The following is a 13,667-nucleotide window of genomic DNA, read 5'->3' as shown; positions in this document are numbered from 1 at the left end:
TCACCATGTTGTCCAGGCTGGTCTCAAACTCCTAACCTCAGGTGGCCCACCACCTTGGCCTCCCAAAGTGCTGGGATTACAGGAGTAAGCCACCGCTCTGGCCAATATCTTTACATTACTAAGCATGATAATAGGTAATGAAAATCTGCACAGGCCGGGCACCATGGATCATGCCTGTAATCCTAGCACTTTAGGAGGCTGAGGCAGGTGGATCACCTGAAGTCAGGAGTTCAAGACCAGACTGGCCAACATGGCGAAACCCCGTCTCTACTAAAAACACAAAAATTAGCTGGGTGTGGTGGCCAGCACCTGTAATCCCAGCTACTCGGGAGGTTGAGGCAGGAGAATCGCTTGAACTCGGGAAGCGGAGGTTGCAGTGAGCTGAGATCATGTCACTGACTCCAGCCTGGGCAACCGAATGAGACTCCATCTCAAAAAAAAGAAAGAAAGAAAGAGAGAAAGAAAGAAAGAGAGAGAGAGAGAGAGAGAGAGAGAAAGAAAGAAAGAAAGGAAGAAAGAAAGAAAGAGAAAGAAACTGCACAGAGAGCTGTTCATTTAATTGAGCAAACATGTAGTGTATAACGTCTACTGTAGTTAGGCACTTTGACAGGAATTAGGACTTACATTTTAATGGAGGAGAAATGTAGACATGTGAATAAATGATTAAAATTCTACAAATATTATGAAAGAAGAATGTTTTATGCTAATCTTACTGTGTACAAGAATGAATCCATTAGCAGAATACTTGTACATGTATATTGATGTCAAATTTTTTTAAATGGCAATAAAAATAAGAGATGAACTAGTAAAAAAAGTATTGTTTTCCTTTCCACAGTTTGAGTGCTATTAAATCAGATAATAAAGAACAAAAATTATAGATTAGTTATTTCCCCGATCTCTTGTTTATATATTTGAGATTATCAGTGCCTAAATAGTCTATTTCTGACCTAGATCTTGTTACATATGCCCAAGCGGAGGGAATAACCCTCATTTACATAAGGAACAGAATGGCTCTGAGATAGAATTTCAAAGAATCAACCACGTGAACCCTCCTCTCTTTTATTTAATCCTTTGGAAATTGCATAAAGAACTGAGACTATTGGATAAGTGACATATTTCTTAATTAATCTTTTTATATTGTAAAGAAAATAATGTTCAAACTCTGCTTCTCATTCCAAAAAGACTTGTACATGTTACTATAGTCCAATAGTGTCTGATATATTTTATTATTAAAATTGTGAAAGTATTTTGAATGAGCTACTTATTAATCCTTATGCTTCCTTATGCCATTTAATTCTTATTTTTGTTAAATATATTTCTGGGTTCTGAAAGAAGCATTCAAATACCTAATCCTCCTGTCTCTTCTGAAATATACTTTTTTTTTTTTTTTGCTAAAGAAGTGGAGATAAGATGATGTTGAGGATTATTTTTTCCTAGGAAATATACAATAAGTAGATAAAATGATTTTTGCATTTTGGATATTATTTTTTTTCCAGAGAATATTACTGAAGCAAAATTGATCAAGTAAAGCAGAACTGTGGATGGCAGGCTAGAAAAATCTGTGGTCGCCATTGTCACACCACAACCTGCAGCAGCTGTATTCTCAAGTCCCTCCCTCCCACGCCCTTCTTAGCCTGCCAGCCTAGCAGGAATGAATGGGTTCCGCAGAGCACTGTGTGAGTAGTGCTGCAGACCCTGAAAATTTGTCTCTGAAAACCAAAAGGAAAAATTATTTGTAAAAAATAAATTTTCAACTTTAGTGGCCAAACTTATTTACCTCTGAAATTTCATCACCAACATCCAGTGGTACGAAGTCCAGTGACTTACTCCGGATCGTTGCTGAGAATGGAGGCTTCCTAAATATCAAGATAATTTTACTCCAATTTATTTCCTAGGGGTGAAAGCAAAGCCTTTTTGTCCCAAGGGACAACTGAGCAACCACCAGAGTCTCTAGCTGAACAGCAAGGGTGTGAGGCCGGCTAAAATTCCCACAGTTAGAAGCCCACTCGCAGGAGGATATTTACCAAATTGACATAAGAACTACATAAAAAGGAAATGCGTTTATTGAGCTGATGTTTCACAGTTGTCTGTGGATGGAGGCGACATTGCAAAATTCTTTTTACATTATATTATTCTCTTCTTCTTTTTAATTTGGTGTATTGGTTATTACTATTATTTTGCTTGTTACTTTCCAGACAAAAGTCCAATTCAGATATGTAACTGCACACATGTAGTACTAACTTCTGAGCTCAATTATTTCTCCTTGTATTTTCCCAATTTTCTATCAGGAAAGATGATTCATTCCAAAGGACAATGTACCATACAAAATGTGTTACATAGACTTCTCATAAAAGAATACCTCTAGTAAACCATTATAACTACTCTACGTTCACTTGCTCTTGATTATTGCCATGTTAGAACTATTTGTTCGCTTCTTTATTTAATATGGTTATTCTTTCCATCTTCCAGTTTTGTTTAGCTATTCGGGTGTGCGTGTGCCTGCAGAAGAAGCTCTGAAAATAAGTTAGTTGAACCTGAGAAACCATTTGGAATGACCGTATGGCTAAATCTTTTTTTAAATTAAAAAAATCACATATACCCAGGCCATTTCGAGCATCATGCCGATTTTCCCTCCCACTTTACGTTTAAAGCAATTAGAGATGTTGAACCCTAACAAAATGTAGTCGAGTTTAATATACTACGAGGGAGGGGCTGGCAGTCATTTTCCTTTAAATATTTAATCTAAACATAAATTGTTATTAAGGGTAGGGGGAAAAAACCTCACATAGATAATTTTAACTGCAGTTTGAGGTTTAAGCAACAGAAAGTCTTCTAACCCCAGTCCCCTTTCTTCTCCTTCCGCCCCTCCCCAACCCCGCCCCATAATGGATGCTCGGCCGACTGCTTCTGCACGGTCTCTTTGTCTAAAGGATGCAAACAGTCTACGGATGCTAGAGAAAAAGGGGTGGGGGAGAGATTACCTCATCCCACGTCGCTTGCACCAATCACCAGTCTCCTGTCATGGCTTCTCTGGGCAGATTGGGGGTCTGGACCAACAGGAAAAGGCCCCGGCCCATCCCCATGGTGACCGAGTTGTATATAGGGAGCCGCATCCGCCTATGTGCCGCAGGTTCTCTTACATCGACCGCCTAAGAGTCGCGCTGTAAGAAGCAACAACCTCTCCTCTTCGTCTCCGCCATCAGCTCGGCAGTCGCGAAGCAGCAACCATGGTGAGAATCGGCTTCGGCTCTTTGTGGCCGTTGGGTGGAGTCAGCGCCCCCAGGCTCTACTTGGAAAACCTTTAAGCTCTTTTCTTTCGTAAGCTCTCTGGGCGAGGGTGGTGGTATGTTTTGTGAGGTTTAGCTTAGCCCCAAATCCTCAAGCCCCGCCGCCGCCGCAGTGCGGGTGCAGGAACCGGGCCAGTACTGCGCCCAGGGCGCAGCAGAGCGCTGGGGAGGAACAAAGGCGGCGCCTAGGCGCCTGTGTTATCCGAGAGACTTTCGGGGGCCGCGGGCAGCCCGTCTGCCGCGACCGAGGGGTCTGGGGCGTCCCGGCTGGGCCCCGTGTCTGTGCGCACGGTTTCGCTGATGCTGAGGGGCCACTTTCTGTCTCGCGTTGTTCTCTGGGGACCGGGAGAGGAGGAGGCACCCAAAAAGAGCGGGGGCGTTGGGCGAGCTGGGGGACGTGGGAGGGGGAACGGGAACAAAGCGCAGCCTAGGGTTAGCGTGGGAAGACCCTCCGCGGTCTTTGGCGTTTTGGAAAGATACCCACACATTCCCGGGAAAACATGGTGAGTTTCTGCCGGAGCCCCCGGCAGCGGGTGTCAGGGCGGCGCAGGGGCGGGGTTGTTTGTTTCTGGCTTCTATGGCGTTGGAGCCACTGGGCGGGGTTCGCCCTCACTGAACCTCTTCTGTCAGGAGCTGACTGAAAAAAAAACAAAAAAACCTTTCATCATTGCGGAACTGTAGGCTCCAAAAGGGTTTTCTTCACTATTATAAGTTAGATGACTTTTTTTTTTCTTGAGCAAAATCATAATTCACTTCACAAGCTCTTTAATGTCTGGTCTGGGGACGCCCTGCCCTGACCGACTGAAGTGTGTGTGTGTGTGTGTGTGTGTGTGTGTGTGTGTCTGTGGGACGCCCTGCCCTGACCGACTGAAGTGTGTGTGTGTGTGTGTGTGTGTCTGTCTGTCTGTCTGGACTGCACGTTCAGCGAGGGAGAAAGCCCACTTTGTGAGCCCCAGGGTACCCTGATGGTCAGGACCCAGGGAAACGCCCTTCCCCGCCGCCCCCCCGCCCCGCCCCCACCACATCAGCGAATAGACAATGAAAGTGGTAGCCCTAAAGACCACAGAGAAGAAAACCTCTATTGGATGCAAAGAATATGAATATTATGTGATGGGTAGAGAATCTCAGGATGAAAATACTATTTTGTTGTTTTAAATAAATATTTCATTATCCTTCCACTGGGCTTTTATTCTTTGGTACCTTTTCATGTGATGCTTGTTTCTAACTTAGGAACTTTTGTGTGTGTGTGTGTTAAGATACGGATAATTTTTCAGCTTTTACAGTGGAGAAGATCTGGAAAAACCTTTTTTTTTAAAAAAAAAAGTAATGAAATTGCTACAGACAAAGAAGAATTATACTCCGCATCCCGTTGTCTTTTGTTCCAGTGCATCTTAATTAATTCATTTCAATTCAGGCACATGGTCCCGGGCGGGGTCAGAGGAGGAAAACTGGCAAAACAGCACAATGAGATCATGTAGGCAGCTGCTGGAAATAGAGCTTGCTCTGTTAAATAATGTAGCAGACAGTACAGGCTAGCACCAGGCACAGCAAATACAGCAATGCAGCAATGCAGAAGGCAGACCTTGTCTAAACTCCTAGTATTGATGGATTCTGCAGACAGACTGCAGAAGGGTGTGGCTTCTTGCCTCAGCTGCAGTACAGATGTCCGGATTATAATATCAAGTCCTATTCAGAGGAAACTTTCATCTTTATTTAAAAGGGAAGAAAGCAGTAAAATTAATCCCAATTAAGTCATAATTGGATTTACTTCATTTTACAAAATTTGTGCTTTGAATACTGAATACTTTTTAAATATGAAAAATCTTCTATTCAAGCATGGTAGTAGGCACAATGGGCTGGTACCACGTGCTGAACAGGGCCAAGGCGACATCATTATTCAGACCACACCCATATGCAGCATTTGTAGCAGGTGATTTTCCTTAATCTTTGTATCGTGCTGGGGATATGACCTCAAATAATTTAGAAAAATATCTGTATATTATTAGAAATATTTTTGAAATTTCCTATAAGTTTGAAATGCTAATACACCTTAATTTTACGATTTTTTCACTTTTCCTCCCCACAGCGTGAGTGCATCTCCATCCACGTTGGCCAGGCTGGTGTCCAGATTGGCAATGCCTGCTGGGAGCTCTACTGCCTGGAACACGGCATCCAGCCCGATGGCCAGATGCCAAGTGACAAGACCATTGGGGGAGGAGATGATTCCTTCAACACCTTCTTCAGTGAGACGGGGGCTGGCAAGCATGTGCCCCGGGCAGTGTTTGTAGACTTGGAACCCACAGTCATTGGTGAGTTGACCTCAGTAACCCAAGTGAGATCCCAGGGTGCTGGGACAGGAGGTCTGTCCTGGGGGGCTCCGCTGGTCACTCACCCACTCTCCCTCCCCGCTCCTCGTCCCTCCTCCTCCTCCCCCCTGCTCCTCCCCCATCATGTTCTCCAGATGAAGTTCGCACTGGCACCTACCGCCAGCTCTTCCACCCTGAGCAACTTATCACAGGCAAAGAAGATGCTGCCAATAACTATGCCCGAGGGCACTACACCATTGGCAAGGAGATCATTGACCTCGTGTTGGACCGAATTCGCAAGCTGGTATGTTTCTTTTCAAGAATAAAGTAAATTAATGAGCCTAAAGAACACATTTGAAATAATGCTTTTTTTTTCAAACACAGAATTGAACTGTTATTTTAATAAAGAGTGGAATGAGTCATTCTTTTGGGGTTTTTAAAATTCAGTTAAAATGAACTATTTGATGTCATTTTGTAAATGTTAATGAGAATTTTTTAAAAAGCATTTGTCAAAATAAGATCTAAGTCCTGGAAGATGTATGAAAAGTGAAAATATATTTACTATGATTGTACTACAAAGAATAAAAACTTAACCTTTCCTCTGTTCCTCTCTTTTGTTATAGGCCGACCAGTGCACGGGTCTCCAGGGCTTCTTGGTTTTCCACAGCTTTGGTGGGGGAACTGGTTCTGGGTTCACCTCGCTGCTCATGGAACGTCTCTCAGTTGATTATGGCAAGAAGTCCAAGCTGGAGTTCTCTATTTACCCGGCGCCCCAGGTTTCCACAGCTGTAGTTGAGCCCTACAACTCCATCCTCACCACCCACACCACCCTGGAGCACTCTGATTGTGCCTTCATGGTAGACAATGAGGCCATCTATGACATCTGTCGTAGAAACCTCGATATTGAGCGTCCAACCTATACTAACCTGAATAGGTTAATAGGTCAAATTGTGTCCTCCATCACTGCTTCCCTGAGATTTGATGGAGCCCTGAATGTTGACCTGACAGAATTCCAGACCAACCTGGTGCCCTATCCCCGCATCCACTTCCCTCTGGCCACATATGCCCCTGTCATCTCTGCTGAGAAAGCCTACCATGAACAGCTTTCTGTAGCAGAGATCACCAATGCTTGCTTTGAGCCAGCCAACCAGATGGTGAAATGTGACCCTCGCCATGGTAAATACATGGCTTGCTGCCTGTTGTACCGTGGTGACGTGGTTCCCAAAGATGTCAATGCTGCCATTGCCACCATCAAGACCAAGCGTACCATCCAGTTTGTGGATTGGTGCCCCACTGGCTTCAAGGTTGGCATCAACTACCAGCCTCCCACTGTGGTGCCTGGTGGAGACCTGGCCAAGGTACAGAGAGCTGTGTGCATGCTGAGCAACACCACAGCCATTGCTGAGGCCTGGGCTCGCCTGGACCACAAGTTTGACCTGATGTATGCCAAACGTGCCTTTGTTCACTGGTACGTTGGGGAGGGGATGGAGGAAGGTGAGTTTTCAGAGGCCCGTGAGGACATGGCTGCCCTTGAGAAGGATTATGAGGAGGTTGGTGTGGATTCTGTTGAAGGAGAGGGTGAGGAAGAAGGAGAGGAATACTAAAGTTAAAACGTCACAAAGGTGCTGCTTTTACAGGGAAGCTTATTCTGTTTTAAACATTGAAAAGTTGTGGTCTGATCAGTTAATTTGTATGTAGCAGTGTATGCTCTCATATACAATTACTGACCTATGCTCTAAAACATGAATGCTTTGTTACAGACCCAAGCTGTCCATTTCTGTGATGGGTTTTGAATAAAGTATTCCCTGTCTTAAATGAATTCAGTCCTGTGTTTTCTATCTGGGTGTCTGAAGTTTTTCATGTATTTAGTGCATTGAGAATAAAAAATAAGTGTTGCCTGTGGTTTATACATATCCTAGGAAGTGACGTTTGTATTTAAAGTATCTTAGTAATTTAAAACTTTTATTTATGAAACACAAAATGTATATCTAAAGATTACCATTACAGAGCATCATGTACTTTTTTTTTTTTTTTTTTTTTTTGTGAGATGGAGTCTTGTTCTGTTGCCCAGGCTGGAGTGCAGTGGTACGATCTGGGCTCACTGCAACCTCAACCTCCTGGGTTCAAGAGCTTCTCCTGCCTCAGCCTCCCAAGTAGCTAGGATTACAGGCATCCACCACCACACCTGACTAATTTTTGTATTTTTAGTGGAGACTGGGTTTCACCATGATGGTCAGGCTGGTCTCAGACTCCTGACCTCCAGTGATCCGCTTGCCTCGGCCTCCCTAAGTGCTGGGATTACAGGCGTGAACCACTGTGCCCGGCTCATACTATTAAGTTTTTACCTCATTATTATAATAAAGTTATTTAAACTGCCAGTACTTTTTAGAGTTGAAAGTTGGTAACACATAGCCAAAATCTGGTTGGCTGCTGAATCTTATGTAACTAACATAAAATGGTGAATATTCCAAATGCATCAGTTTTTCATGTGCCCTCCGCTCCTTGGTATGTGTCTAGTGCCATTATGCCTCTTCTGCCCAGGGTTCCCAAAACAAATCTCCTCTCAAAGCAAGCAGCCCTATGCTAGACTTAGTTCTTTACCTTCTTTCCAAACCTATTTTAAGCTGAATGTCATGTTGGAAAAGCCTGATACATTTATTCACTCTAATGTGTTAATTAGATATCTGAAAGTTAATTCTCCAAGTTAATGTGGGCCAATAACTTCAAATAATAAAGCCCTAATAGTGCAATTGCATGCATTAGCACCAATACAAAAAATGTTTTGGACTTACGATTTGTCCAACAATAGAGCTCTGCTCCAGACCAACTGACCAAAAGTGTCTATTCCCAAGTTCAGTAAATTGTCTTCCTACTCTCACATTTTCTGGTTCTGGGATACATATTAGTTCATTTTCACGCTGCTATGAAGAAATACCTGAGACTGGGCGGGGCACAGTGGCTCATGCCTATAATCCCAGCACTTTGGGAGGCCGGGGCGGGCAGATCACAAGGTCAGGAGATCGAGACCATCCTGGTTAACACGGTGAAACCCTGTCTCTACTAAAAATGCAAAAATTAGCCAGGCGTGGTGACACACGCCTGTAATCCCAGCTACTCAGAGAGAATTACTTGAACCCAGGAGGTGGAGGTTGCAGTGAACCGAGATCGCACCATTGCAGTCCAGCTTGAGCAAAACTCCATCTCAAAAAAAGAAATACATCAAGATGGGCTGGGTGCGGTGCCTCACGCCTGTAGTCCCAGCACTTTGGGAGGCTGAGGTGGGAGGATCATTTGAGGTCAGGAGTTCGAGACTAGCCTCTCCAACATGGTGAAACACCATCTCTACTAAAAAATACAAAAATTAGCTGGGTGTGGTGGCGGACACCTGTAATCCCAGCTGCTCGGGAGGCTGAGGTGACAGAATCGCTTGAACCCGGGTGGTGGAGGTTGCAATGAGCCAAGATCACGCCACTGCACTCCAGCCTGGGTGACAGAGCAAGACTCCATCTCAAAAAAAAAAACTATGTTATAATGGGAAATGTTATTTTATATATATATATATACACATATATATATATATATTTTTTGAGACAGGGTCTCACTCTGTCACCCAGGTTGGAGTGCAGTGGTGCGATCTCAGCTCACTGCAACGTCAGGCTCAAGCGATCCACCTCAGCCTCCCAAGTAGCTGGGACCACGCCACCATGCCCAGCTAATGTTTTTCTGTATTTTGTAGAGGCAGGGTCTCACTATGTTGCCCAGGCTCGTCTCCAACTCCTGGACTCAAGCGATCCTCCTGCCTCAACCTCCAAAGTGCTAGGATGACGGGTGTGAGCCACGACGCCCAGCCTGTTATATGTATATCTTACCACAATTTTAGAAACAAACACACAATGGAAGTATAAATCAAGCACTAAGAAAAATGATTGCCAATGGGGAGAGAACATGATCTAACTGCACTTCTTCTGATGCATTTGTTGTGTCATTTAACTATAGAAACATGTAACTATGTTATATAAGAGAGAATTAAGGTGGAAAAAAATCCTTAAAAATGGAAAACAAAATGAAACAAATAAATCTAACCAAATATCAGGTTGGTGTCTTAACTGCAGAAAGGGGAATTCTCTCTTTCTTTCTTTTTCTTTTTTTTTTTTTTTTTTTTTTTTGAGACAGGGTCTCACTCTATTGCCCAGGCTGCAGTGGCATGATCTGGCTCATTGCAACTTCTACCTCCCAGGTTCAAGCAATCCTCCTGCCTCAGCAGCCAGAGTAGCCGGGAGCACAGGTCTATGAGCCACCGTGCCTGGCTACTTTTTTTATTTTTGTAGAGACAGAGTTTTGCCATGTTGCCCAGGCTGGTCTCGATCTCCTGAGCTCAAGTGATCCTCCCACCTCAGCCTCCCAAAATGCTGGATTACAGGCGTGAGCGAGTGTACCAGCCACCTTAACAATTCTTGAAGTATGCAGTTCAGTATTGCTAAATATATTCACTTGTTGTTGCAACCAATCTCCAGAATTCTTTCATCTTTTTTTTTTTTTTTTTTTTTTTGAGACGGAGTCTAGCTCTGTCGCCGAGGCTGGAGTGCAGTGGCGCGATCTTGGCTCACCGCAAGCTCCGCCTTCCGGGTTCGCGCCATTCTCCTGCCTCAGCCTCCGGAGTAGCTGGGACTACAGGCGCCCGCCACCACGCCCAGCTAATTTTTTTGTATTTTTAGTAGAGACAGGGTTTCACCGTGTTAGCCAGGATGGTCTCGATCTCCTGACCTCGTGATCCGCCCGCCTCGGCTTCCCAAAGTGCTGGGGTTACAGGCGTGAGCCACTGCGCCCGGCCCAGAATTCTTTCTTCTTACAAAACTTAAACTCTATACCTGTCAAACAACTTATCATTCCTCCGTCTCCACAGCCCCTGGCAAACAGCATTCTCCTTTGTCTCTATGAATTTGACTATTCTAGGTACCTTACATAAGTAGAATCATACAGTATTTGTCTTTTTTGTAACTGGCTTATTTCACTTAGCACAATGTCCTCAAAGTTCATCCATGTTGTAGCATGTGTCAGAATTTACTTCCTATTTAAGGCTGAATAATATTCCATTGTGTGTATATACTAGTTTTTTTTTTTTTTTACTCATTCATTCATCCATGCACACTTGAATTGCTTCCACCTGTTGACTTTTGTGAATAATGCTGCTATGAATATGGGTATACAAGGATCTCTTCCAGATCCTGTTTTCAGTTTTTTTGGGTATATACACAGAAGTAGAATTGCTAGATCATATTTTCTGAATGTGCGTGTGTGTGGTTTTCTTAAGAAATGAAGTCTCACTCTGTTACCCAGGCTGGAGTGCAGTGGTGGGATCATAGCTCACCGTAACCTCTAACTCCAGGGCTCAAGTGATCCTCCTGTCTCAGCCTCCTGAGTAGTTAGGACTCCAAGCATGCCACCATACCAGGCTAATTTTTGCATTTTTTGTACAGACAGGGTCTTGCTATGTTCCCCAGGTTTATTTTCTGTTTTTTTTTTCAATAGAAGCCATTCTAATATGAAGTGGTTGTAGTTTTAATTTGCATTTCCCTAATGATTAGTAATGTTGACCATCTTTTCGTTTGCTTATTAGCCAGTTGTATATCTTCTTTGGAGAAATGCCTTTTCAAGTTCTCTGCCCATTTTTAAATTGGATTGTTAATGTTAAAACACTTTTTTTTTTTTTTGAGACGGAGTTTTGCAATTGTCTCCCAGGCTGGAGTACAATGGCACAATCTCGGCTCACTGCAACCTCCACCTCTCGGGTTCAAGTGATTCTCCTGCCTCAGCCTACCGAGTAGCTGGGATTACAGGTGCCTGACACCACGCCCAGCTAATTTTTGTATTTTTAGTAGAGACAGGGTTTCACCATGTTGGCCAGGCTGGTCTCAAACTCCTGACCTCAGGTGATCCATCTGCCTCGGCCTCCCAAAGTGCTGGGATTATAGACATGAGCTACCATGCCCAGCCAAAACACTTTATTTTTATATATTTTTTTGAGACAGGGTCTCATTCCGTTGCTTAGGCTAGAGTGCAGTGGTGCTCTCTCAGTTCACTGCAGACTTCCCAGGCTCAGGTGATCTTCCCATTTCATCCTCCCAAGTAGCTGGGACTACAGGATCACGCTACCACTCCCAGCTAATTTGTTGTTGTGGTTGTTGTTGTTTCTGGTAGAGACAGGGTCTCACCACGTTTCCCAGGCTGTTCTCAAACTCCTGGGCTCAAGCGATTTGCCCGTCTTAGCCTCCCAAAGTGCTAGGATTATAGGTGTGAGGCACCATGACCGGCCAATGTTAAAACACTTTTATCCCACCATTTAATCCATGAGGATATAAGAATACTGAAATTGTTTGGGCATGGTAGCTCACGCCTGCAATCCCAGCATTCGGGTGGATGACCTGAGGTCAGGAGTTCGAGACCAGCCTCGCCAGTATGGTGAAACTCCATCTCTACTAAAAATACAGAAAAAATTAGTCAGGCATGGTGGTGGGCGCCTATAATCCCAACTACTTGGGAGGCTGAAGCAGGAGAATAGCTTGAACCTGGGAGGCAGAAGTTGCAGTGAGCCGAGATCACACTACTGCACTCCAGCCTGGGCAACAAGAGTGAAACTCTGTCTCAAAAAAGAAAAAAGAAATACAAAAATTAGCCGGGCATGGTGGCATGTGCCTGTAATCCCAGCTACTCTGGAGGCTGAGGCAGGAGAATCGCTGGAACCTGGGAGGCAGAGGTTGCAGTGAGCCGAGGTCGCGCCACTGCAATCCAGCCTGGGTGACAGAGCGAGCCTCCATCTCAAGAAAAAAAAAAAAAAGAATGGTGGAATAACTAAAATGTAAAAAAAATTAACTGCAAAAAGTTATTTTATCCTGAGACCATTATAAGTTTTATTTCTCATGTGTACATTATTTCCTTCATATTTAAAAATAAAACAACAAATAATGCTGGCTATGGTGCTCATCCTATCCCTTATTATATCTTTAATTGGAACGTAGTTTTTGGCCTTGAGACACATGTTTTATAAGTTTTTTCTGGGCCAGGCATGGGATTACAGGTGTGAGCCTACAATCCCATCACTTCGGGAGGTTGAAGTGGGAGGATCGCTTGAGCCGGGGAGGTTGAGGCTGCAGTGAGCCATGATTGCACCACTGCACTCCAGCCTGGGCAACAGAGCAAGACCTTGTCTCTAAATAAATATATAAATAAATTTTTTTCTCAATATATGGAAAGTATCTCAACATGAGAATATTTACATTATTTCTATACTATTAAAATTTTTAATCAGAATAGATGTTGAATTTTATGGAATGTCTTTTCAGCAATATTTGGAGATTAACATATGACTTTTCCCCCTCAACATACTATAATGAGTTATTTTAAAAGATTTCCTAATATTGAATGATCATTGCATGTCTAATATAAAAAACTTGGGGCTGGGCATGGTGGCTCACGCCTGTAATCCCAGCACTTTGGGAGGCTGAGGTGGGTGGAATGCTTGAGGCTAGGAGTTCGAGACCAGCCTGGGCAACATAGGAAGACCCCATCTCTATTAAAAAAAAAAATTAGGCTGGGTGCAGCGGTTCATGCCTGTAATCCCAGAACTTCGGGAGGCCAAGGAGGGCAGATCACGAGGTCAAGAGATCGAGACCATCCTGGACAACATGGTGAGAGCCTGTCTCTATTAAAAATACAAAAATTAGCTGAGCGAGGTGGTGTGTGCTTGTAGTCCCAGTTACTCGGGAAGCTGAGGCAGAAGAATCCTTGAATTCAGGAGGCGGATGTTGCAGTCAACCAAGATCGAGACACTGCACTCCAGCCTGGTGACAGAGTAAGACTCCATCTCAAAAAAAAAAAAAAAAAAAAAAAAATAGGGCAGGTGGGGTGGCTCACGTCTGTAATCCCAGCACTTTGGGAGGCTGAGGCAGGTGAATCACCTGAGGTCAGCAGTTCGAGAACAGCCTGGCCAACATGGTGAAGCCCCCATCTCTACTAAAGATACAAAAATTAGCCAAGCGTGGTGGCACGCACCTGTAATTCCAGTTACTTGGGAGGC

The 13,667-nt window shown here is 44.0% G+C and overlaps 1 protein-coding gene across 3 annotated transcripts, besides 4 other annotated features; it reads left to right on the top strand.

Annotated features, from left to right (window-relative positions):
• Positions 2,857–3,448: an enhancer, noted in NCBI's record as "H3K27ac hESC enhancer chr12:49582542-49583133 (GRCh37/hg19 assembly coordinates)". NCBI's record gives its function as "activates a minimal SCP1, AML or CMV promoter by ChIP-STARR-seq in naive H9 embryonic stem cells {active_cell/tissue: H9 hESC(naive)}" and the evidence as "EXISTENCE:reporter gene assay evidence [ECO:0000049][PMID:30033119]".
• TUBA1A (tubulin alpha 1a) lies at positions 3,127–7,412 on the top strand. Of its 3 annotated transcripts, none has more exons than NM_006009.4 (4): positions 3,127–3,230; positions 5,374–5,596; positions 5,749–5,897; positions 6,217–7,412. In NM_006009.4, the coding sequence occupies exons 1-4, from the start codon at positions 3,228–3,230 to the stop codon at positions 7,195–7,197; spliced, it is 1,356 nt and encodes a 451-aa protein (NP_006000.2). In that variant the 5' UTR covers positions 3,127–3,227; the 3' UTR covers positions 7,198–7,412. The 3 variants fall into 3 exon arrangements, with proteins under 3 accessions (NP_006000.2, NP_001257329.1, NP_001257328.1); NM_001270400.2 differs by having other exon boundaries at positions 3,127–3,318; NM_001270399.2 differs by having other exon boundaries at positions 3,127–3,790.
• Positions 3,239–3,358: an enhancer, noted in NCBI's record as "active region_6309". NCBI's record gives its function as "activates an Ori minimal core promoter by ATAC-STARR-seq in GM12878 lymphoblastoid cells {active_cell/tissue: GM12878}" and the evidence as "EXISTENCE:reporter gene assay evidence [ECO:0000049][PMID:35858748]".
• Positions 6,413–6,913: an enhancer, noted in NCBI's record as "H3K4me1 hESC enhancer chr12:49579077-49579577 (GRCh37/hg19 assembly coordinates)". NCBI's record gives its function as "activates a minimal SCP1, AML or CMV promoter by ChIP-STARR-seq in primed H9 embryonic stem cells {active_cell/tissue: H9 hESC(primed)}" and the evidence as "EXISTENCE:reporter gene assay evidence [ECO:0000049][PMID:30033119]".
• Positions 6,914–7,414: an enhancer, noted in NCBI's record as "H3K4me1 hESC enhancer chr12:49578576-49579076 (GRCh37/hg19 assembly coordinates)". NCBI's record gives its function as "activates a minimal SCP1, AML or CMV promoter by ChIP-STARR-seq in primed H9 embryonic stem cells {active_cell/tissue: H9 hESC(primed)}" and the evidence as "EXISTENCE:reporter gene assay evidence [ECO:0000049][PMID:30033119]".

Source organism: Homo sapiens, chromosome 12 (genome assembly GCF_000001405.40).
Source record: "Homo sapiens chromosome 12, GRCh38.p14 Primary Assembly".
NCBI lineage: Eukaryota > Metazoa > Chordata > Mammalia > Primates > Hominidae > Homo > Homo sapiens.
This window is presented reverse-complemented; position numbering and strand designations above follow the sequence as displayed.